The sequence below is a fragment of the Homo sapiens genome, chromosome 13 (genome assembly GCF_000001405.40).
Source record: "Homo sapiens chromosome 13, GRCh38.p14 Primary Assembly".
In the NCBI taxonomy this organism is placed as follows: domain Eukaryota; kingdom Metazoa; phylum Chordata; class Mammalia; order Primates; family Hominidae; genus Homo; species Homo sapiens.
The window spans coordinates 78,006,239-78,029,201 of NC_000013.11; the positions used below are offsets into that span (position 1 = coordinate 78,006,239).

The following is a 22,963-nucleotide window of genomic DNA, read 5'->3' on the forward strand; positions in this document are numbered from 1 at the left end:
CTCATAAGTGGGAGTTGAACAGTGAGAACATATGGACACAGGGAAGGGAACATCACACACTGGGGCCTGTAGGGGGTTGGGGGGCAAGGGGAGGGAGAGTATTAGGACAAATAGTTAATGCATGTGGGGCTTAAAATCTAGATGATGGGTTGATAGGTGCAGCAACCACCATGGCACATGTGTACCTATGTAACAAATCTGCACCTTCTCTACATGTATGCCCGAACTTAAAGTAATATAAAAAAAATTTAAAAAGAAGCAGTTTCTTGATGGTTTTATTGTGAACTTAATAAATATAATGTTTGACAATATCGAAATCATACTCAAAAAATGGTGAATTCTAAATATTTGGAAGATCCAAATTTTCCACATAGGTATGTATGTTAGAGTTCTCAAGAAAAACAGAATCATTAGAATACATATAAATATATGTAGAAGAGGCGACTTATTATAAGAATTGGGTAATGTGGTTATGAAAGCTGGGCGGTCTCACAGACTGCTGTCTGCAAGCTGTAGAACCAGGAAAGCCACTCATGTGATTCAGTCATATTCTGAAGGTCTGAGAATGGGTGGTGAGGAGAAGGGAGGCAATGGTGGTGTAAACCTGTACTAAGTCCAATAACCAGGAGTGCTGATGTCATACAGCAGGAGAAGATAAATGTCTTAGCTCAGACAGAGTAAATTTGCCCTTTCTCCACTTTTTGTTTTACTCAGGCCCTCAAAAGATTTAGTGATGCCTGCCCATATTGTGATTACCCTCACAGTTACAGCTGGAAATGCTGTTTTGCCAGCTATCTGGGCATCTCGTAGCACAGTCAAGTTGAAAACTAGCCATCGCATTATGTTTCTATTGATTAACAGAATTAAATATTAAATTAGAACATAAAAACTAAAGTAAGTACTAATTTAAATTCTCATTTTGTTATTCAAACACTCTATTCAATTTCTGTATTTTAATAAACTTTGATTGAAACTTAAAATATGTAGAAAAAAGTATGTAAATAGTACACATTTGAAGAGTGATCACAAATAGAACACAACAGTGTGAACTTTTCCAGGTCAATCAATTGCCACCTATGTCTTTTCTATCCACTTGACCTGGTGGACACTAAGCATTGTATGCAGCTATTGTTCCTAAATCATTGTTCGAAATGGAGATTCCCAGCTCCCGTCCAGGAGCTGCTAATCAGAATCTTGGTGGTGGGTCTGGGAGCATCTGGGAAATTCTGGAACGTCTTATCAAGTGATAGAATTTGGGAACAGATGTTTTTCTTCTTGAATTTTAACTGTTTTGAGTTGTCTTAATTATGCATTTTTTACTGAAGCTACAGTTCTTCAAATGATTTGTGGTACTGCTACTGCTCTCTCCTAGTTTGAGACTTATGTTTTGCTACCACTAGAATGCAAATGCATCACACTGTCTCCAAAGTTACCCTCCCAAAAGAGAGTTAAGTTCAATTAATTCCCTCCCTAAATATTGAATGCCAACTGGTGCCTTTAGATAAACCCTAAGTTCCTGAAGCTGTCATCCAAAGCATGTCATTATTTGGGCCCATTCTGCTTCCATGTATTCCTCCTTTCACCCCTTATTAACCTGTAATTTCTCAAATGCAGCTTCCTCAAACCCTCACTTATCACCACAGGGGCCCATCCTATTTCTGATCACCCTTCGCTCAACCACATAATAAAGTTTGTCATTTCTCGACAACAACTCCTTATCTCATTGCTTATGTTAGTCATTCCACCTGGAATGCCCCTTCCCTCTTTTCTTTGTGTATCTCAATTCCACCCATCCTTAAAAGTTTCCCATGCAATACCATCTTTTCCATTCCCCAGTAAGAAATATAATTACATGTGCATTTGATTTTCTGCTGTCAGAGATTGTGCAGCTTTGAACATTGCATCTGCCTTTTCCCACAGCTGGGACTACCTAATTGTCCCTTGCAGTCTCAACTCCATCCAAGCTTCTAAGACCTATCTTAGCCTTGTTGAGAAAGAATTTCAGAATCTGATCTACACTTGTGGAACTCAGGCACTCGTGTTGTAATCCAATATCAGTGTTTGACCCAGCACTGGAAACTAGGTTTTAGCCTTATTCTGGGAAACTTCATTTCTGTTTATGGAAATTAGACTTCAGACTTGTTAGTACTTCACAGGGTCCTATTTTCCATCTCTCCCTGTAGGATCACCCCTGCTGTTGTCAGGCTCATCTCCAACTAAAATGTCCTAGAGGCTCATGCCTAAATCCCACCACACAGGCTGGGACTCTCATTTGTAAATACCTCCCTATGGCTGATGATTGTCTTCCTGGTATTGACTTTTTGAGGACTGGATCCCTCAACTGTAGCCAATTGTTGCTAGTCCTGTAGCTTCACCCTGGGTTGCTTCTTTGGCTTAAAGCAATATCCCTCCAGAGCCATATTGAGCATGTGATATATTTTACAGCATCCTACATATTTTTATAACTTAAGGAAATGCAATTAATATAACATTAAATGGAAATTATGTGAAAGCTTAGTTTTTCTCTGATGAGTTAAAGCAGTGAGCTTTCTGAAGGCATGTATTTCATGACACAGTTCATGTCAGCAGTTTTTAAAAAGAATTCTGTCCTTATTTCACACATTTCTTTTCAAGAGAAAATGTTGAGTACATAAAGAGTTTACAAGAATAAAGCATTTAAAGTTTAATGACTTTTAAATAAATTTTTTATCCTAAAACATTACTAGTCATAAGCACACTTTCAGATTTATATTCTTTTTTTAAAAAAATCTATATTTAACATAGATGAGGCAGGGTATTAGAAAGTTCTACAAATATATTAGGGTTCTGTATTTTTCCATAAGCAGAATCCTTGAAAGAGCATGTGTTGGGTTATGGATTTTGTTTTTTTAAAATCTGGTCATATTAAATAAATTAGAAAGGCAAATTGAAGATAACACTGTAATATATTGCTAAGTTACCAATTATATGACCATTATTATTATACTATAACTGCAAAGAGATAATAGATGTGATTTTCTCCCTCCCTTTTTTAGTGCCTCACAAGCAAAATTATTCACAATAAAATAAACTTAATATATGCCATATAATAATTGGAACCTCTCCTACTCCAGCCCATCCCCAATTATTGTATATATGAAGTATATCCTTTTTTCACACACCTCCCACTAGAGGCAAAAGAAATGTTTTATAGGTAGTAAGCAAAAAGGAGATTTCTCTTCTTCTCCTTTTTTCCCCTCTCCTATTGTTTTATAGTCTCAGTAACCCAGGTGATGTAGTCAGCTCCATCTTCAACAGCACAGATGACCAATTAAGCCCTCAGGGGTGATCTGAGCAGCACCCCTTTCCTAGGAAAAGCTTTCTCATTGCCTACCATGTACCAGATTTCCACCATAAGAGATGGGTTCCTTTAGATAGTGTTATATTTCCAAGAATGACCTATAATAATTACATTTGCAAAATTTTATTGGTCAGAGTAGAACTTGAGGTCCCAAAATGTGTGTGAGAGAGAAACTTTACATAGGCAGAGAAATAGAACTGAAGCATTAAGGAAAAGATCTAGATAATATGCCATTGAGAAGGGGTACAGGCAGCCAGAAAGAACATACAGAGACTCAGTAGGACAAAAAAAAATCCCTTGTCTTCTTTCTTTTCCTTTCCTGCTTTTTTTCAGTCTGGCTGAATGTGTTGCCCTTGGGATCAACCAATCACTGCAGCACATTCACACTTTTCTTGGCCATGTAGTAGCAACTCCACTTCTACCCTGATAATTATCTTGCTTTACTCTTCTTCTTTAAACAAATGTCTAGAGAATACAAAGAAAGTCAATTTTATTAATTACGTTACATGGCTTGACATTTTAAATTGTACTTCATAAAAAGAAGTTGGAATTCACAGCTATTTGGGAAAAAAAAGCAGTAGAGAGGAGGAGAGATCCTTATCAAGCTCACATCAAGATATAACTTGTTTTAAAATTTATAAAAATAGAAAATTACAGTGTATGGCACATATCTTCATATCATTATAATAGCTGATCCTTTTCAGAATATGCTTTCTAAACTTTCATTTGTTTTTAAACACTTTTTAGTTTAAAGTATTATGTATTTAAAAATGTAAAAGTCATCTTGGCTTGTGGGCCATACACAAACAGGCAATGAATCACATATGGCCTGTGGTCTGTAGTTCGCTGACCTTTGTCTTACATAAATGAATTAGTTCAGTGTCTAGAACATCATGAGTAGTGACTTATATGATTACCATTATTCCTTAAGGAACTTACACTCAGTGGAGCAAATCTTAAAAGCTAATTCAGAGGTCGGATAAATTACATATGCAAAAATTATAAAAAGAATTTTTTAAAAATTAACAATGGAACCTCCCTCTTTTCCCTATTCCCTAAATACTATAAAGAAAAAAAATTTTTTGAATGAAGACTTTGATGAGGTCTGAGACAGAAACCCTCAACACTCTTAAGAAACAATGGATGGTATGCTTTTTAAGGTGGAAAGAAACATCTTACTTCTGATTTTCTTTATTTTTTTCACTTGAGGTTTGCAAGCTGAAAGTCAAAGCTGAATTGCTCAGGACAATAGAACAAAGCTGAGAGTCAAAGCTAAATTGCTTAGGACAATAAAAGAGATTATAGAGATTGTGTGTACTGGACAGATCAGTGCAGTTAAGGAGGACAGAAACTTGGTTAAAAATGGGCCTTGCAGAAAAAGCAAATACAGTTTAAAGGAAATTAATCATATATCACAGTGAAAAAAATTTTCGTTTTTCCACAAACTGTATTATTTGCTAGTATTTAGTTAAGCTGGGTCTCTTTTAGAATGAGCCTTAGGGAATGTGAGAAGAGTCTATTTACGGACTTTGGCTAAGCCAAAGCCAATCATGGAGGATGGACACCTGTCTGGGATTCATGCAGTTTAGTGAACTGATTGAGAGCACAGGTTAAGAGTCAAACAGAGCTGGTTTGATAGGTAAAAACCTCAGGTTTTTAAAATTAGCAGTGTAAGATGGGAAAACTACTTAACTTCTATCAGTGTTGACAGCTTTGTTTGTAAAATAAATAAAAATTATTGTTTTGCTTTAGGGATAAAGGAAATTGTGCCTTTAAAGCACTTAGAACAAAATATGGTAAAGAATACACGCCCTGGAAAGCCTAATTATTATTGTATGTCTTCATGAAGCCCACTTAAGCCATATTACCTGTGGGAACTGCAGATACTGGGCAAGCAACTCCTCTGGAGGCAAAGGCTAAGGACACGTGGAGGAATCAGAGGCAAGAAACCCAACATGGCATAAGCTATCAGTGACACTAACTCAAGAGCAGATGATGGGAGGCCTGTAGCCCCAGGGTCTGGGGAGTAGCTCCAAACAGCCCAATGGATGGAATACCAGATAAGAGGTCCTGCATTTAGACTTGGCTAACATTCCAGAAGTACTTTTGATGGCCCACAGCACTTGTCTATTGACATTTTGGGCCAGATACTCCTTTGAGGTAGTAGTTGTCCTACATACTAAAGAATATTTAGCAGCATCCCCGGCTTCTACCCAGAAATGTTTTATCATCAGCATAACCCAATGTCCCCTGGGAAGCAAAACATCCCTGGTCGAGAACCAGTGATATATGAGGACAGTTTTAATTCCCTCTGATGATCTACAGAAATAATGGCACAAGGTCAAGGGAGTGGACTTTGCGGAAAACAAGAGGTCCTCAGTGAGGAGACAAGCTGGTGAAACATGATTTACTTACATAAGGATACAAACACTAATGGCATGTACCCATTGGTGAAACATTTAGGGCTCCTTAAGGATGTGTGATTTCTGTTCTCAGTCATAAAATAGAATGGAATATTTTGAAGTACACGCTGGTAGGTGTTAGCTTCTGAATCTAAGAAGTCTAGAGGTCCCCCAGAGCTATCTTTGGCTCTTAGCACCTTTATACTTCATGTTCCTTTGCCTGAAACTTCCTCCCTGAAGGCCAGTACCCATACAGCCACCTACAGGTCACTCACCTCACTCCTCTTTCCTTGACCAATTTTCCTGAATCTTTCCTATCTCAGAAGCTATTAGTTCTGGGTATCCTTCCCTGAAGCTCTAGACTGGCTGGATATCACTTTCCCGGGCTCCAGCCTGCTTAGTGGTCTATTGCTTCTTCTGGACTAACATTTCCTGAGGGCAAAAACAATATCTTGTTCTCTCATGTATTCCTAGGATCTAGCATGGTGTCTGGCACATAGTTGGCAATCACGGGGTATTTGTTGAATAACTTGGTAGTTGCTTTGCAGGAAATAAGCACATCTGGGGTAATCACATTTATATTTTGTTTAAAAATCTCTATATTTCAACTCAAAACCAGTCAAGTTCCACATATTCTCAGTTATGCATGGGAACTAAGTCATGTGTATGCATGCATACACAGTGTGTAAAAATAGACAATGGAGACTTGGAATTGTGTGTGTGTTGGGGGGGTGAAGGATGAGAAAGGGGGATGAAGGATGAGAAATTACAACATACACTCTTTGGATGACGGTTACACTAAAAGTCCAGACTTCATTACTGTGCAATATACCCATGAATCAAAATGGCATTTGTACCCTCTAAATTTATACAAAAAATTCTCTATTTCAGCTGCTACTTAGGAGCAAGTACCATTTTATGAATAAAGCACCATTGAAGTCATTGCTATTCCTTGAAGCCAAAAAAGGTGATATTAGATTTAGAGGTAAACTGGTTAGTGCTAAAGAATCAAGTAATGAAACTAAAACCCACCGTATAGTGTGAAAGCTGAAGAGGCCTTACTCCACTTTGAGTAGATTTTTCTCTTCTGTAATTTTCAAAGGCTGTGCTTAGAAACTGTTTTTCTCATTTTATTCCCTGTTACTTATTGTTCTGCTGTGTGGATTTTTTCATTAGAGGTCTATTTGTGCCTGGTTTGCCTTGAGGGAAGGGATGATACAGAACTCTCATCTGTCCCTGTTACTATGTATTATTACTTGGGCAATGTCAAGGCAAATGCCATATAAATAAATAAAACACTCTGGAAGCTTCAGTTCTCACTGCTAGGCAGCAAAAAGAGCAAATGTTTAACTTTTAAGAGATAGACTTAATAAAAAGCTGCCATTTTCCCATAGTATGAGAGAAAAAGGATATTTTTCTCAAGCATTTATAATTTGGCATTGAGGATTAATAAAATGTTATTGAGTCTGGCTTTGTTATCTGTCTGTAACAATGGTTATTTGGTTTTATCACAGCCTGGAAATCTCAGTTCTATGGGGCTTAGTGTATATACTCAGCTATTGCATAATAAAATCAATCTATTGAAAGGAACAGAATCTTTTATTAGGTGAGGGTGGGCAGAAGAGATTAATTTTTCATCACTCCGAAGGCTCATTTCTGGTTAATCTTGTTTTGGTTTCCCCAATCATGTGGAGTGTCAGTAAAACCCAGTCAGAATTACCATCTTCTGAACTCCATGCGAGAAAACTCCATTACTCCCAGATACTGTTGGATCTTCCACCAGGTACTCTTCTTGGGGTAGGGTGTTGGCGGTTCAATTGATGTATACCTTCTGTGCAGCAGACAGCTAACATGTAAATGTAGAGATTGTCAGCACAAAGAGGATAGTGCAATTATTTTAACACAAGTAGAGTAAATCTTCTCTATTTTTTTTCCCAAAAGTGAAAGAATGCTTCCAGTATTCTTTCTGTGAATACTTTCACTTCTTTCCCGGAAGAGCTGATAAATTGAGTGTTCTAGTAAAATAAACATCCTTGATAAGAGAGATTCACTACACTGTCCCTAATGTGATACATAGACCATCATAGCACTTGCCACATATGGATTGCACATTTTCAAATCATTAAAATCCTAGAGTTCTAAGGACCCTATTGCAGTCAGATACTATGTGATAGCTATTTGCCAAAGATGGCCTCTAGTATCCATGCTTTTGCATTGTCCCTCTCATATTGAAGCTGGGCTGATCCTGTGACTTGCTGTTTCAAGAGAAGGTGGCAGAAGTGATGATATATCTGAACTTCTGAGAGCCTGAGCTTCCACATAAGAAGTTCTGTTGCCCTGAAGGAGAGACCACATGGAGAGACAACATGGAAATACTATACAGAGAGGTCATATGAAGAGGGGACACCCCGAGGCTGTAGGGAGAGAGAAAGGGAAGCCCAGATTTCCTAGGATCCCAGCTGATCCCAGCTATCCCTGCCAAGGTGCTAGGTACATGAGTGCATCCATCTTGGACATTCCATCTTGGATATTGAATATGGAGCTCCCATCTGACTGCAATTGTGTAAGGAGCTATGAGCAAGACCAGCAGGAGAAGATACAGCTGAGACACAGTCAACCCACAGAATCCTCAGAAATAACAGAATAATTGTTGGTTTAGCCACAACATTTTGTGGCTAATTTGTTATGCACTCATAGATAACAAAGGTAGACACCCTAAAACACGAATAATTTAGTCTAGCCTTCTTATATTGTAGGTGAGGAAACTGAAGAAACTGAAGACCAGAGCAATGAACCCATTTAACCAATGTTACAAAGTAATTTAGAAAAAAAAAATGCTGGAATTAGAAGTCATATATCTGGAGTTTTAATTAAATTGTCTGTTAACCTTGCTATGCTGCTTAATATATCACTGTGGCCCAGTAATTCCACTTTTGAGAATATATCATTAGGAAATAATGAGAACAAATTGTGTCTCAATATGTTCACCATACTATAATTTATAACAAACAATTGGAAACAAACTGTAAGTAAAAGTATAGAGGAACAGTGTATTAGTCCGTTTTCACACTGCTGATAAAGACAGACTGGGCAATTTACAAAAGAAAAAGGTTTAATTGGACTTACAAAGAAGCCTCACTATCATGGTGCAAGGCAAGAAGGAGCAAGTCCCACTTTACATAGTTGGCAGCAGGCAAAGAGAGAAGAAGGAAGATGCAAAAGCAGAAATTCCTGATAAAACCATAAGATCTCCTGAGACTTATTCACTGCCATGAAAACAATATGGGGGAACCACCCCCATGATTCGATTATCTCCCATAGGGTCCCTCCCACAACATGTGGAAATTATGAGAGTACAGTTCAAGATAAGATTTGGGTGGGTACACAGAGCCAAACCATATCAACCAGTAAAGGGATTTCTTGTCTTTGCACTTAAAGAATAACATAGCCATTAAAAATAATGCTTACAAATATCATGAAAAACACATGACATTATGGTAAGTGAAAGAAGTGTAACACTGTAACACTTGAAAGCAGGATATGGAACGCTTTACATAAGATCCCCAAGTTAGTTTTTTTCTTCTTCTAAAGACTAGGTAGGAAAAAAGATTGAAAAGATATCATAAAAACATTAACCATAGTTATTAACAAGTAGTGATGTTAGATAACGCATTTTTCTTTTTCCCATTTTTTCATGTTATTTCCATATTTTGATATTAGACACATATTTTACACTGAAAAAATGTGTAAAGAAAAGTCAGACTGTACTGACTTTAAGGCCTTAATTTTTTAAAAAATTTCCATAGGTTTTTGGGAACAGGTGTTATTTGGTTACACGAGTAAGTTCTTTAGTGATGATTTGCGAGATTTTGGTGCACCCATCACCCAAGCAGTATACACTGAACCCGATTTGTAGTCTTTTATCCCTCACCTCCCTCCCACTTTTCCCCTGAGTCCCCAAAGTCCCTTGCATTCCCCTGAGTCCATTGCATCATTCTTATGCCTTTACTTCCTCATAGCTTAGCTCCCACTTATGAGTGAGAACATGTGATGTTTAGTTTTCTATTCCTGAGTTACTTCACTTAGAATAAGAGTCTCCAGTTCCATCCAGGTTGCTGCAAATGCCATTAATTCAGCTGAGTAGTATTCCAGTGTGTGTGTGTGTGTGTGCATATATATATATATATATATATATATATATATATATATATATATATATATATATATCACGATTTTTTTATCCACTCATTGATTGATGGGCATTTGGGCTGGTTTCATGTTTTTGCAATTTCAAATTTTGCTGCTATAAACATGTGTGTGCAAGTATCTTTTTCGTATAATGACTTCTTTTCCTATGGGTAGAAACCCAGCAGTGGGATTGCTGAATCAAATGGCAGTTCTATTTTTAGATCTTTAAGGAATCTCCACACTGTTTTGCATAGTGGTTGTACCAGTTCTAGTTTACATTCCCACCAGCAGTGTAGAAGTGTTCCCTTTTCATCTCATCCACACCAACATCTATCATTTTTTGATTTTTTGATTATGGCCATTCTTGCAGGAGTAAGGTGGTGGTATCACATTGTGGTTTTGATTTGCATTTCCCTGATCATTAGTGATGCTGAGCATTTTTTCATATGTTTGTTGGCTATTTGTATATCTTCTTTTGAGAATTGTCTATTCATGTCCTTAGCCCACTTTTTGATGGGATTGTTTTTTTCTTGTTAATTTGCTTGACTTCCTTGTAGATATTTGTCCTTTGTCAGATGCGTAAATGGTGAAGACTTTCTCCCACTCTGTGGGTCGTCTTTTACTCTGCTGGCTAACTTTTCCTTTTTTTGTTCAGAAGCTCTTTAGTTTAATTAAGTCCCACCTGTTTATCTTTGTTTTTGTTGCATTTGCTTTTGGGTTCTTGGTCATGAAGCCTTTGCCTAAGCCAATGTCTAGAAGGGTTTTTCCAATGTTATCTTCTAGAATTTTTATAGTTTCATGTCTTAGATTTAAGTCCTTGATCCATCTTGGTTGATTTTTGTATAAAGTGAGAGATAAGGATTCAGTTTGTGGCTTGCCAATTATCCCAGCATCATTTGTTGAATATGGTATCCTTTCCCCACTTTTATGTTTTTGTTTTCTTTGTTGAAGATCAGTTCACTGTACATATTTGGCTTTACTTCTGGGTTCGCTATTATATTCTGTTGGTCTATGTGCCAGTTTTTATATCAGTACCATGCTGTTTTGATGATGATGGTCTTATAGTATATTTTGAAGCCAGTTAATGTGATGCCTCCAGATTTGTTCTTTTTACTTAGTCTTACTTTGGCTATGCAGGCTCTTTCTTGGTCCCACATACATTTTAGGATTGTTTTTTCTAGTTCTGTGAAGAATGCTGGTGGTATTTTGATGTGAATTGCATTGAATTTGTAGATTCCTTTTTGGCAGTATGGTCATTTTCACAATATTGAGTCTACCCATCCATGCGCATGGAATGTTTTTCTATTTGTTTGTGTCATCTATGATTTCTTTCAGCAGTGTTTTGTAGTGTTCCTTGTAGAGGTCTTTCACCTCCTTGGTTAGGTATATTCCTAAGTATTTTATTTTATTTTTTTGCAGCTATTGTAGAAAGAATTGAATTATTGATTTGATTCTCAGCTTGGTTTGTGTTGGTGTATAGCAGAGCTACTGATTTGTATACATTAATCTTGCATCCTGAAATTTTGTTGAATTCATTTATCAGTTTTAGGAGCTTTCTGGAGGAGTCTTTAGGGTTTTCTAGATATACAAACATATCATATGCAAACAGTCAATTTGACATCCTCTTTACTGATTTGGATGCCCTTTATTTCTTTCTCTTGCCTGATGGCTCTGACAAGGACTTCCAGTACTATGTTGAATAGATGTGGTGAGAGTGAGCATCCTTGTATTGTTCCAATTCTGAAAGGGAATGCTTTTACCTTTTCCCTATTCAGTGTTATGCTGGCTGTGGATTTGTCATAGATGACTTTTATTACACTGAGGTTTGTCCCTTGTTTATCATTTTTGCTGAGGATTTTAATCATAAAAGGATGCTAGATTTTTTTCTGCATTTGTTGAGATGATCAGGTGATTTTTGTTTTTAATTCTTTTTATGTGGTGTATCACATTTATTGACTTGTATATGTTAAACCATCCTTGCATCCCTGCTATGAAACTCACTTGATCATGGTGGATTATCTTTTTGATATGCTGTTGGATTCAGTTAGCTAGTATTTTGTCAAGGATTTTTGCTTCTATATTCACCAGGGATATTGGTCTGTAGTTTTCTTTTTGTTTTTTTTGTTATGTCCTTTCCTGGTTTTGGTATTAAGGTTATACTGGCTTCATATAATGATTTAGGGAGGATACCCTCTTTCTCTATCTTGTGGAATAGTGTCAATAGGATTGTTACCAATCCTTCTTTGAATGTCTGATAGAATTCAGCTGTGAATCCATCTTGTCCTGGACATTTTATGGTTGGTAATTTTTTTTTTTTTTTTTGAGACGGAGTCTTGCTCTGTCACCCAGGCTAGAGTGCAGTGGCATGATCTCGGCTCACTGAAACCTCTGCCTCCCGGATTCAAGTGATTTTCCTGCCTCAGCCTCCCAAATAGCTGGGATTATAGGCACCAGCCACCACGCCTGGCTAATTTTTGTACTTTTAGTAGAGACGGGATTTTACCATCTTGGCTAGGCTGCTCTTGAACTCCTGACCTCGTGATCCACCTGCCCTGGCCTCCCAAAGTACAGGGATTACAGGCGTGAGCCACTGTGCCCGGCTGGTTTTTCTTTTTCCTAGAGTGAGAGGTCATTATCTTCCATAGAGTATTCAGTCAGTAACAACCAGAATTGAAGGTTCTGCAACATTACTGCCCCCACTGCCATTTTTCCTGGTTGAATAAATCATGGTCATGACAATTCATCTGGCTTTACTTTGATCTTCATCTTTATTCAATCATGCTATAATGTTTTCCTGATTTTTCTGCAATTTGGGGAGGAAACAGTGGCCACGAGGAAGGGGTGGGAGGTAGACAAGGTCAGGGTGGGAGGTAGACAAGGTCAGGGTGGGAAGATAGTATTGAACTTTACTTCTTGAAATGTGAAAAAAAAAATGTTTGACTACAAGGCCATATGCCCCAACACTGGATTAATATCATGTTAGCAGAAGATGTCTAGTGTTGACTTTGGCTCTGATTACTTCAGTTAACTGTTTCCTTGAATGAAATATGGAAGGCAGTCCCAATGACTTACTGTATAATCCTATAATTTTTATTTAAGTTACTGGTACAAAAGTATAGATCATTTGTATTACTGACAGTTTTGCTTAATTTATTCTACTAATAACATTTGATTGGTACTTATACTTTGAATGGTAGAATCAGGATCTAGGATGATAATGAAAGTTGGTATTATTAGGTTGATGTGAACAATATGAAATTTAATGAAGATAAATGTAAGAACTGGCCCTTAGGTCCAACAAAGCAAAGTAAAAACAGGTGAGAGAAGATATACATTTGGTTTAGCATATAGATCAAACACTCTGAGGCTTTGGCTTATGGTAAGCTTCAAGAGAGACAACACTTTGGCGTGGGTGCTCAGAGAAACTCTGTAATCACAGGCTTATTAACAGAACAATAGAATAATGATGCAAACAGTGCCAGACTCTTTGCATTGATCAGATCACCTCTGGAATATTGTTTTAAGTTCTAGGTGCCTTAAAGCATATGGATATATATTCATATTAGATTGCTAAGAGTTGAAGTCATGTCATAGAGAAAACAAACAAAGAATGTTTGCTGGGGTGAGGGTGGGGTAGCATTATAGCTATCTTTAAATATTAAATGATTTTCCAAGTGGAATGTGACCAAGGACTGGTATACAAGATATAAGGTTAGGGTGAATGAATGATAACTAAGCCAGAGCATATTTTTTTTAACATGAGGAAGATATTTTTAACAGACAGCGCTCTTTCAAGATGTCATGGGCTGCCTCATTAGGAGGCAAGTGTTTAGCTCTAAAGGCATTCAAGAAGATGCTGGAGGCCGGGCGCGGTGGCTCACGCCTGTAATCCCAGCACTTTGGGAGGCCGAGGCGGGTGGATCATGAGGTCAGGAGATCGAGACCATCCTGGCTAACAAGGTGAAACCCCGTCTCTACTAAAAATACAAAAAATTAGCCGGGCGCGGTGGCGGGCGCCTGTAGTCCCAGCTACTCGGGAGGCTGAGGCAGGAGAATGGCGTGAACCCGGGAAGCGGAGCTTGCAGTGAGCCGAGATTGCGCCACTGCAGTCCGCAGTCCGGCCTGGGCGACAGAGCAAGACTCCGTCTCAAAAAAAAAAAAAAAAAAAAAAAAGAAGATGCTGGAAAAGCAAATGTCAGAAAAGAAATGTCAGAAACAAATACAAGTTATCTCATTCCTGAGAAAACTATAACTTTCCTGGTAGATCCACAACTTTGGATAGGGATGGTGAAAGGTGCCAATAATTTTGCAGATGGTCTCAAAGGCAGCAAAGGCAGATCTGCTTTTATGGGTGTTTTTAAGCTGTTCAGTCTACTTAATTTGCTACTGTAAATGTTTTGCATATTTAAAAATTGGGCTTAAATTTTTTTAAAAATAACTTTGGCTCACCCTAATGAATAACTCCCAGAATTAAAAAATTGAATAGCAAAAACAAAGTAGTTGTTGCAGAGAACCATAGTCGTGGGAACCATAGTTGTCCTTGCTTTTATTTATTAGTCACATAACCTTTGGTGTATCACACCTACTAAAGTCCATGAAATTAATGTCTTTATGGTATTTTGAATGAGAGTGGTTGCTCTCCGGTGTCGTTTGATTCTTTCTCCTCTTTGAGGAGTCCACAGTATAGCCACACTTTGGAGAAAAGTATCAAAAAGTGGTTTGTCTTTTGACTTTTTGACTTCTCCTTGTCCACTTCCAGCCGCAATCATCTCCCTCCTACCAGACTCTGGGACGTGAATGTGTAATTACAGCCCATTGTCTGTGCAGCAATTATAGCCTAATTTGACTTGTTGCACAGAAAGATGACAAAAGTGCTGGCTGTCAGGCAGGGTCAGAGGTCAGCCATTACCCCACGGACTACAGGCAGCAGCCTCATCAGGATTCTGTGGAAGGCTCGTCTCTGGGCAGGACGGGTCTGCAGCTGTCTGTGCGTCTTTGCAGATGACTCTGGGTGAAAACATGGACTGTTTTCAAGATAGATGATCCCAGCGTGCAGTTTGGCTTCTTGCTTTCTTATCAAAGATGTCAAAATTGTTCTGCAGTGAATGAAGCTATTTCTTGTGCCTTCTATATAAATTTTGAGTGGGACATGTACATAACCCAGCTTTAAGATATTTTATCAACTTTCTAGAAATAAAGTTAAGATTATGAAATGGTATTTAAAAGGAATGTTAAATCAGTATGCTACATTAGTATGAAAACTCCTGTGTGTTAAATAGGATAATAACTTGGATGCAATTAAATGAATTGTATCCAGATAGAAAGTCCTAGAGACACTATAAATAAGAATCATAAAATCACAAAGTAAAACTAAAAAAGCATATCCTGTATCAGTTAACCTAGTCCTTGTAGGTAATAAATAAATATTCCTTAAATAATTTTTCTTATGTTTTGTCTATTCTACATTTAAGTCTCTGATAGTAGGCAAATTCAGATCTATTTCAAGAGAGAGAACATTTTACTGTTATTGAAAGATTCTTTAATCCCATTTTCAAATATTTGATATATTTAACATAATTGATCTTCTCCAAATTTAGACAGACATACTGGTCAAACTCATAGTCATTTCAATGAATGAAAGTAATAGAAATTATAATTGAGAGAAAATATGCTAAGTGACAGTGCCAATATTCTAGAAATCAGAAACAAAATACAAAATGGGCTTGAGAAAATTGGTTCATTTAAAAAAATATATTTAGTAAGGGCCAATCTAAGGTGGATGGGGGCAAAAAAAGTTTAAACACAAATCCAGTTAGGTACAATAAAAAATACATTTTGATGCCAATGCACTTAATAGGCAGTATAAATAAAATGCTTTTATGAAATATAGCAATGTGATATTGTAATCTAACCAAATATGTTAGGTACCAGGAAGCATTCCTTACTATTTTATTCTATAAAAGAAGAGGATTGTATTCGTTTCTACTACTCTATTTCATTATTTTATTCTTGTCAGAAAGCTGTAGTGCACTTAAGAGTTTAGGGCAGGATTTTAAGCCCTAGAAAGCCAGGTAATAATCAAAGAAAAGTCATTTTTAGGTTCCCAGGCTGAGGTAAAACATAGAAGTCAGGAAATGGTTTAATAATGAGTAAGCAAACAGGAAGTGAAAGCAGTGAGCCACACAGGCCAGCTGACTTAGATGATCATGGCAGGCTCAGAGACGAAGGAAGTGAGAATTCAGCTGTCAAACCAAGAGTGTTGGCACCAGAGATTACAGTGGGTGTGTGGGAAACCTATCATCCAATTCTTTGCCTGCAACAAGGGCATTTGAGATTCATGACCATTTCAAAGATCTGGTTGTATGGCCTAATTCACCTGATCCTTTGGGTGAATGCTAAGAGAACTGCCACCATTTCCATTATAACAAAAGTACTCTTTATTGAGGAATTGTTATATAGTGGGCGTAGTATAGGTAAACACTTACTCACTTATTCCCTTATTCTATATATGAGTACTGAGCTTAGAATGTGCCAATTACTGTGATACTGACTAGGATACAACAGCAAGTGAAAACAAATATGGTCCTTGCTCTCACAGCTAGGATGAGGTAGATATTAATTATATAATGTATATAACTTAAATAAATATAAATACACATGTAATTTAAAATGTGTTAAGTACTATTGACAATAGAAAGGGGTACTTGGAATATAGGTAGATGAAGAATAAAATTTGATTTAACGTTCATAATCTAGTAGAAGTCTCCTTTTACAGAGAAATAGGCAGAGGCGTGGAGAAGCTAATTCCCAAAGTCACAGGCCTACAAGAGGAGAGCTGAACTCTTCTGTATAGTCTTCCTGGTCACATACTAACTAAAACAAGACTCACACAAATGTAGAACTGAAACAGAAACTTAGATCTTGTATAAATTAATTCATTGATTTATTCAAATAATATTTGTTGAGTGGCAGCTCTAGGTACAGGGGACATCATAGAAAAAGGCCCTCTTTTTTGTGCAAATAAGACTTATATTTTAGTGGGTAAAAATAGATGAACAAACTGGCTACCTAAATATCAGTGATAAAAGAATAGCAAAGAAACAGACTTGTGTGATGGACAATGACAGAATGGCTCATTTTTCTTAGCAGTACCAGGAAAGGCCTCCCTGAAACCAGAACAGGAAGAAGCAGGCCCTTCAGAGGGCTCAGGGAAGAGTCTTTCAGCTAGAGGGAATTGCTTGGACAAAGGCCCTGAGAAGGGAATAGCTTGCATGTTTGAGAGACAGAAAGAATCTCCGGGTGGCAAGAGTATCAGGAAGAGACACGTAGGATGAGTCTGAAGAGACGTTCAGGGTCCAGATTACAAAGGACCTTGTGGGTCAGGGGTTTAGATTTTATTTCAGTTGAATGAGAAGTGTGGGGAAGGTCATTAAAGGAGACAAGGTGAAGAAGATGGGATATGATTTAAGTTTGTTGTTGTTGTTGTTTTTGACGGAGTTTCTCTCTTGTTGCCCAGGCTGGAGTGCAGTGGTGCAATCTTGGCTCACTGCAACCTCCACCTCCTGAGTTCGAGCGATTCTCCTGCCTTAGTCTCCTAGGTAGCTGGGATTACAAGCACACGCCACCATGCCCAGCTAATTTTAGTATTCTTAGTAGAGACAGAGTTTCACCATGTTGGCCAGGCTGGTCTCGAACTCCTGACCTCAGGTGATCCACCCACCTTGGCCTCCCAAAATGCTGGGATTACAGGCGTGAGCCACCACACCTGGCTGATTTGAGTTTTAAATGATCACTCTGACTGTTATGAAGAGGATGGATTAAAGGAGGCTACCATGGGTAAAGGGAGTACCCAGAGGGGCGCTCTCATATGCCTCACAGGTAAGAGAGGATGGTGGCACTGATGAGGCAGCAATAGTGGAACTGGCAAGAAGTGAATGTCTTAAAGACCTTTTTATTAAAGAAAATGTCAAATGCATACAAATTTAGAAAAAAATCGTAAAATAAACTCTGACACACCCATCACCCACATTTGACCATTATCAACTCGTTGCCAGTTTTGTTTCTTATATAGCTCACCAACTTTTCCAGATTATTTTGCAGCAAATATAAAATGTTATATCATTTCATCCATAAATATTACAATATAAATGTTTAATAGACAAGGATTTATATTTTGAATACAATACTAATTTATGCCTAAACATGGACAATAATCCTTACCTTTTTTTCAGTCCTTCTGTTAGATTTTAATCATAACAACTTTTATCAAGTACAACTTTACTGCTAATGTGTCTAATTTTATGTATGTATGTTTTTTTATTGATACATAATAGATGTACATATTTTAAGGGTAAATGTGATATTTTGATACATTCATATTATGTCTAAAGGTCAAATCACGGTAATTGGAATGCACCTCACCTTAAATATTTATCTTTTATTTATGCTAGTAAGATATGAATTGTTCTATCCTCTCTTCATCTGCTATTCCCCCTCCCCTAGTGTTATCAAATATCCTGTCAGTGTTCAAATTTCTTTGTCTTATGACTTTTTAATGATTTATTTGAGTCAAGGTCCTTATGTTCATATATTGCATTTGGTTGATGTGACATTTATGTCTCTCTTGTTATTTTCTTTTCCTTGTAACTTATTCATTAAAGAATTTGTGTGGCTTCATTAAGAGTGTTTGTCAATTTGGACTTACCTAATTGCATCATAAGGGTGTCATTTCATGTGTTCCTCTATCCCCTGTGTCTTCTGTAACAAGTTAGAGCTAAACGTTTAATTGGCTTCAGGTTTATTTTTTTTTTCTTTTCTTTGCCAAATGTCCTTCCATCAGGAGGTACACAATATCTGAGTGTCTCTTTTTGGGATGTTAACAATTGTTGATAATCATCACTCAGATCTCTAAATTAGCAGTTGCAAAATAGTGATAATGTAATTCTATTATTGAGAAGTAGAAATATGGTTTTGAAACATATTTTAGAGATAGCATAGATAAGACTTGCTGATGGAATTCTGATGAGAGGAAGAGAAAGACAGAAATTGAGAATGACTCATGCTTTTGGCTTAAAAAGTTAGGTTGATGGCATTGCCAATTACTGGTTTGGAGAAGGCTGAGAGCAGCTTTAGGGTATGTGGAAAATAAGAGTGAAGGATTATATACCTTATAAATATCCAGGTGGACATCTTAAGAAGGTGGAATAGAATTCAGAAAAGGAATCAGAACTATATAGTATAGTCACAGTATATACTTGTATTTAAAACTGGGGGTCAGGTTGAGATTACCTAGAAGGAGGTGTTTAGAAAGAGAAGAAAAGAAGTTTTGAATACTTATAAGGAATTTTGACCAATTGATCCCTAAGTAGAACCATGCTAGGAATTGAACAGAAAGGTCAACTTGTCCCAGGAAGCTTCTCCAGGTACAACAGTATAAATCCAAGAGTAGGAGTTTCCCTGTATGATACAGAGGAGAAACACTATGCTTGCTTTCGGACAAGTAGTGCTAATCTACATAAGGCATACCCCTGTACCTTGGGCATCAGGAAGAATTTCTCCCTTGTCCTCAAGGTGATATCCACTAGAAAGCACTACAGTGGGCGGAGTTACAAACCCTACCTCTACTGTGCTAAGTGGAATTCTATCATGGCTCCCATGGCCCTTGTCACGTGGTGTTACTCCTGTGATTAAGTTATGCTATGTGGCAAAAGGCATTTTGCAGACGTAAGGTTACTGGTCTGTTGACATTAAAATAAGAGATTACTGGGTGTGCCTAACCTAATCACATGAGTTCTTTGAAAGCAGAGAGTTTTCTCCTGGTGGCAGAGGAGGAAGTCAGAGAGATTCCAAATGTGAGGATTTGATGCACTATTGCTGGCTTGAAGATGGAGGGAGGCACATGGCAAAGAAAACAGGCCAGCAAGGAAATGGGGATGTCAGTCCTACAAGCACAAGGGACTGAATTTGTCGAACACCTTGAATGCGTTTGGAAGTGTGTTGTTCTCCAGAGCTTCCAGATAACAGGACAGCTTGCCTGATACCTTAATTTTGGTCATGTGAGTCTCTAAGCAGAGAACCCAGTTAAATCTCTCCCTCCTTCTGACCTACAGAACTATGAGATAATGAATGGGTAGTGGTGTGAGCCAATACGCTGTGGTAAGTTGTAACTCATTGTTAGAAAACTAATGTGCCTATGACATGCCAGACACTGTGACCGGCTGCTAGGAGGTATACAAAGATAATGATGCAAAAACCTGGCTTTCAGTTATTCATCCATGTAAAGACAAGAGGTGGAACTGTCTTGTCTTGAGAGTTAAACGAGATCTTTTCTTCTGTGTGAAAACAAGCATCTTCAGCCCTAGTTCCTACTGTTTCTCTTCCCCTGTAATAAGACAGCACACACCGGGAAGCTACATGACTAACTGACACAGAGCATGTAAATTTGTTGTCTGTATCAGTACAGAATCATTGAAGACTTAAGCTGGAATGTTATATAATGAATAATATCTAATATTTGCTCAAATTCATTATTACAAAAAAATCCCAAATCTACAATTAACACAAAATAAGTACAATATCATGCAGTTATGAGATATTGGTGTCCTCCTCCTAATGCACAAATACAAGTGTGAGCTGAGAAGATATACCTGCCTGGGTTATAATTAGTATTTAATTGATCATAGTGCACCTGGGTTGTGGTAAAGTTCTTGCAGCACTGTTTTAAGTCAGTGAATGTGTGTGGTTTTAAATTATTTTTTAAAAAGCCAGTGTAGAACTAGGAACATTCTAATCAATGACATCATTTTGATAAGGAATATATACTATATAGTAATTGGATAAATTTTATGGAATGAATGTTCCAAAAGAAGCAGATTTGGCAGTGCATGTTCACCCACTGGGTGTCTCTAATATGTTAGAATTTGGTGTGTAACACATTTGAGTGGGGAGTTTAAGTACTTTCAACATCCCTTTCTGGAGGATTTTTTGAAAACTAAATTCTTTGCAGTGCACTATCAGATCATCAAGAAGTGACACAAACTTGTTACTGGTAAAGTCACATCCTTTAACTACACATTATAAAAAAAATATGCTCGTGGTCTCTCTCTCTCTACCCCTCTCTCTCTGTCTCTTTCTCTCTCTCTCTTTCTCTCTTTGCAGTAGAGATGGCAACTATCTACCAAATATTTGTGCGTCCCCTTTCAAACCTTTCACTGAGAGGCAGCTGCCTAGGCCAGGACTGCATTTCCCAACAACCCTTACAGTCAAGTGTGGCTGTGTACCTTGTTCTCACTTATAGGCAGTGTATGTTCTCTAGTTTCTTTTCTTCATCTGCTAGCCATAGGCAGAGGATTCTTAGGCTCTAGCCTGAGTTCCAAAATAACCCCATGGAAGATGGTAGGCTGACCAGGAACACATACATTGGACAATAACAAAGGGTCAAGTAAATTTGATTGTGTTAAACTAAGAGATGTGCGTGTGTGTGTGTGTGTGTGTGTGTGTAAAGTATAAAATGTAATCATTCTGAACAATTGCTTATAATCTTTATAATCTGGACATTTCATACATCTGATTAAAATCCTCTTATCAGGCATCAAGATGTCACTAGTATATTAAACCCGTGTTATAAACAGAAAGTGTAATGAAAGTCATATTCAGTTTTGCTTTTTATTTTGAAAAAATGAAGCAGATCTTTAGTTGCAGTGTGTAGACCATTGCTTGTATGTATTCTTTTATCATTAAAAAACATAACCAGATAATTATTTTAGCTCTAGTAAAGAATTTCTGCTTCCATAATTTATCTGTTGTTGATGTCATAACACATAAATTTCAATCTTCTTTAATAAATATTTGGTCCCCCAAACAAAAATAATATAATAAAAAATTCAACAAAAATTTGTAGTGAACAAGTAATGCTTCCTTCTTAATTAATTTTTAAAAAATCAATAAGCATGCATTGCTTAAATGGAAAAAGTCAAGAATTTTCTTTAACTGTATTGAAAGGTCCAAAAGTTATAAAATAAGCCCTGTAATTAATCTTTATTAATGAATGAATATAAAACAAAATAGTTTGTGTTTTCTTTACTAAAGGCCACTTCTTTACCATATACCACTCAGAAATATGAAATGATATAAGAAACTTTTCAGAGAACTCATAAGACTACATATTAATGTGAAAGAAGTTTAAGAATCAGAAAAATTGAAGTGGGATAGTCTGATAAATTCAAATATATTTTCTTATATAAGAATGTCAATGGATAAAAGCCGATAATAACAATGTTTTACTGTTACTTAATTTGCCTTTGAGTTTTATGTCCTGATTCATTATAGCCTTGTCTGGAAGGGGAGGTATTGCTTTCACATGGTTTGAAAACTAAATTCTTTGTGATGTAGAGGGTAAAACAGGCAAGTAACAACTAAAGTAGCAATTATAATGCAGTATGATGTAGCCCACTATAGAGAGCAAAAACAATGATAAGGAAGCATGTAATGGAAGAAGCAAGTAACCCAGACTGAGAGGTCAGAAACTACGTTTGTATTAAAGCCCAGGTGCTGATGAAAAGGTGGCCACGTGCAGAGTCAAGGAAGGAGTTTTCTAGGATGTTTCAACGTGGAACATCCAAGCTACAATGCATGAAGACTAAAGCAATTCCATCTTGGATGCAAATCTGCCATGTTGACTTCTGATTAACCTTGATTCTGAGAATGCCTCTCAGATTTCTACTTCATCTACTGTCACTGTAAATTCTGCCCTGAGGTCAAAACAACCTTGACCATACATCCTGACCTTTGGCAGATTCACATAGCATTCTTGCCTTTCATTGAGGGGTCCAGTTCAATTGTCCTACACATTCCTTCCCTATGGTTTATAAGCCCTGAGCATATGAGGTAACAGTGAGAGGATCCACCATCTTGTCTCATGGTCAACTGAGATGCAGACATGGCTTCTGTTCACATGTCCCTATTAAATATTTCTTTCTAAGAAACTGTATCTGTCAGCCCTTTTCTTCAGTGTCTCAGCATCCTAGGCTGTTGG

General features: G+C 37.3%; 1 long non-coding RNA gene across 1 annotated transcript in view; it reads left to right on the forward strand.

Annotated features, from left to right (window-relative positions):
- Window positions 1-6,644: 6,644 nt before the first annotated feature.
- The window catches only part of LINC00446 (long intergenic non-protein coding RNA 446), a 40,713-nt gene continuing 24,394 nt past the window's right edge, over window positions 6,645-22,963 (forward strand). The window contains exons 1-2 of the long non-coding RNA NR_047028.1: window positions 6,645-6,709; window positions 7,437-7,525. This is a non-coding gene — a long non-coding RNA (long intergenic non-protein coding RNA 446). The remainder of the gene's footprint in view (window positions 6,710-7,436; window positions 7,526-22,963) is intronic.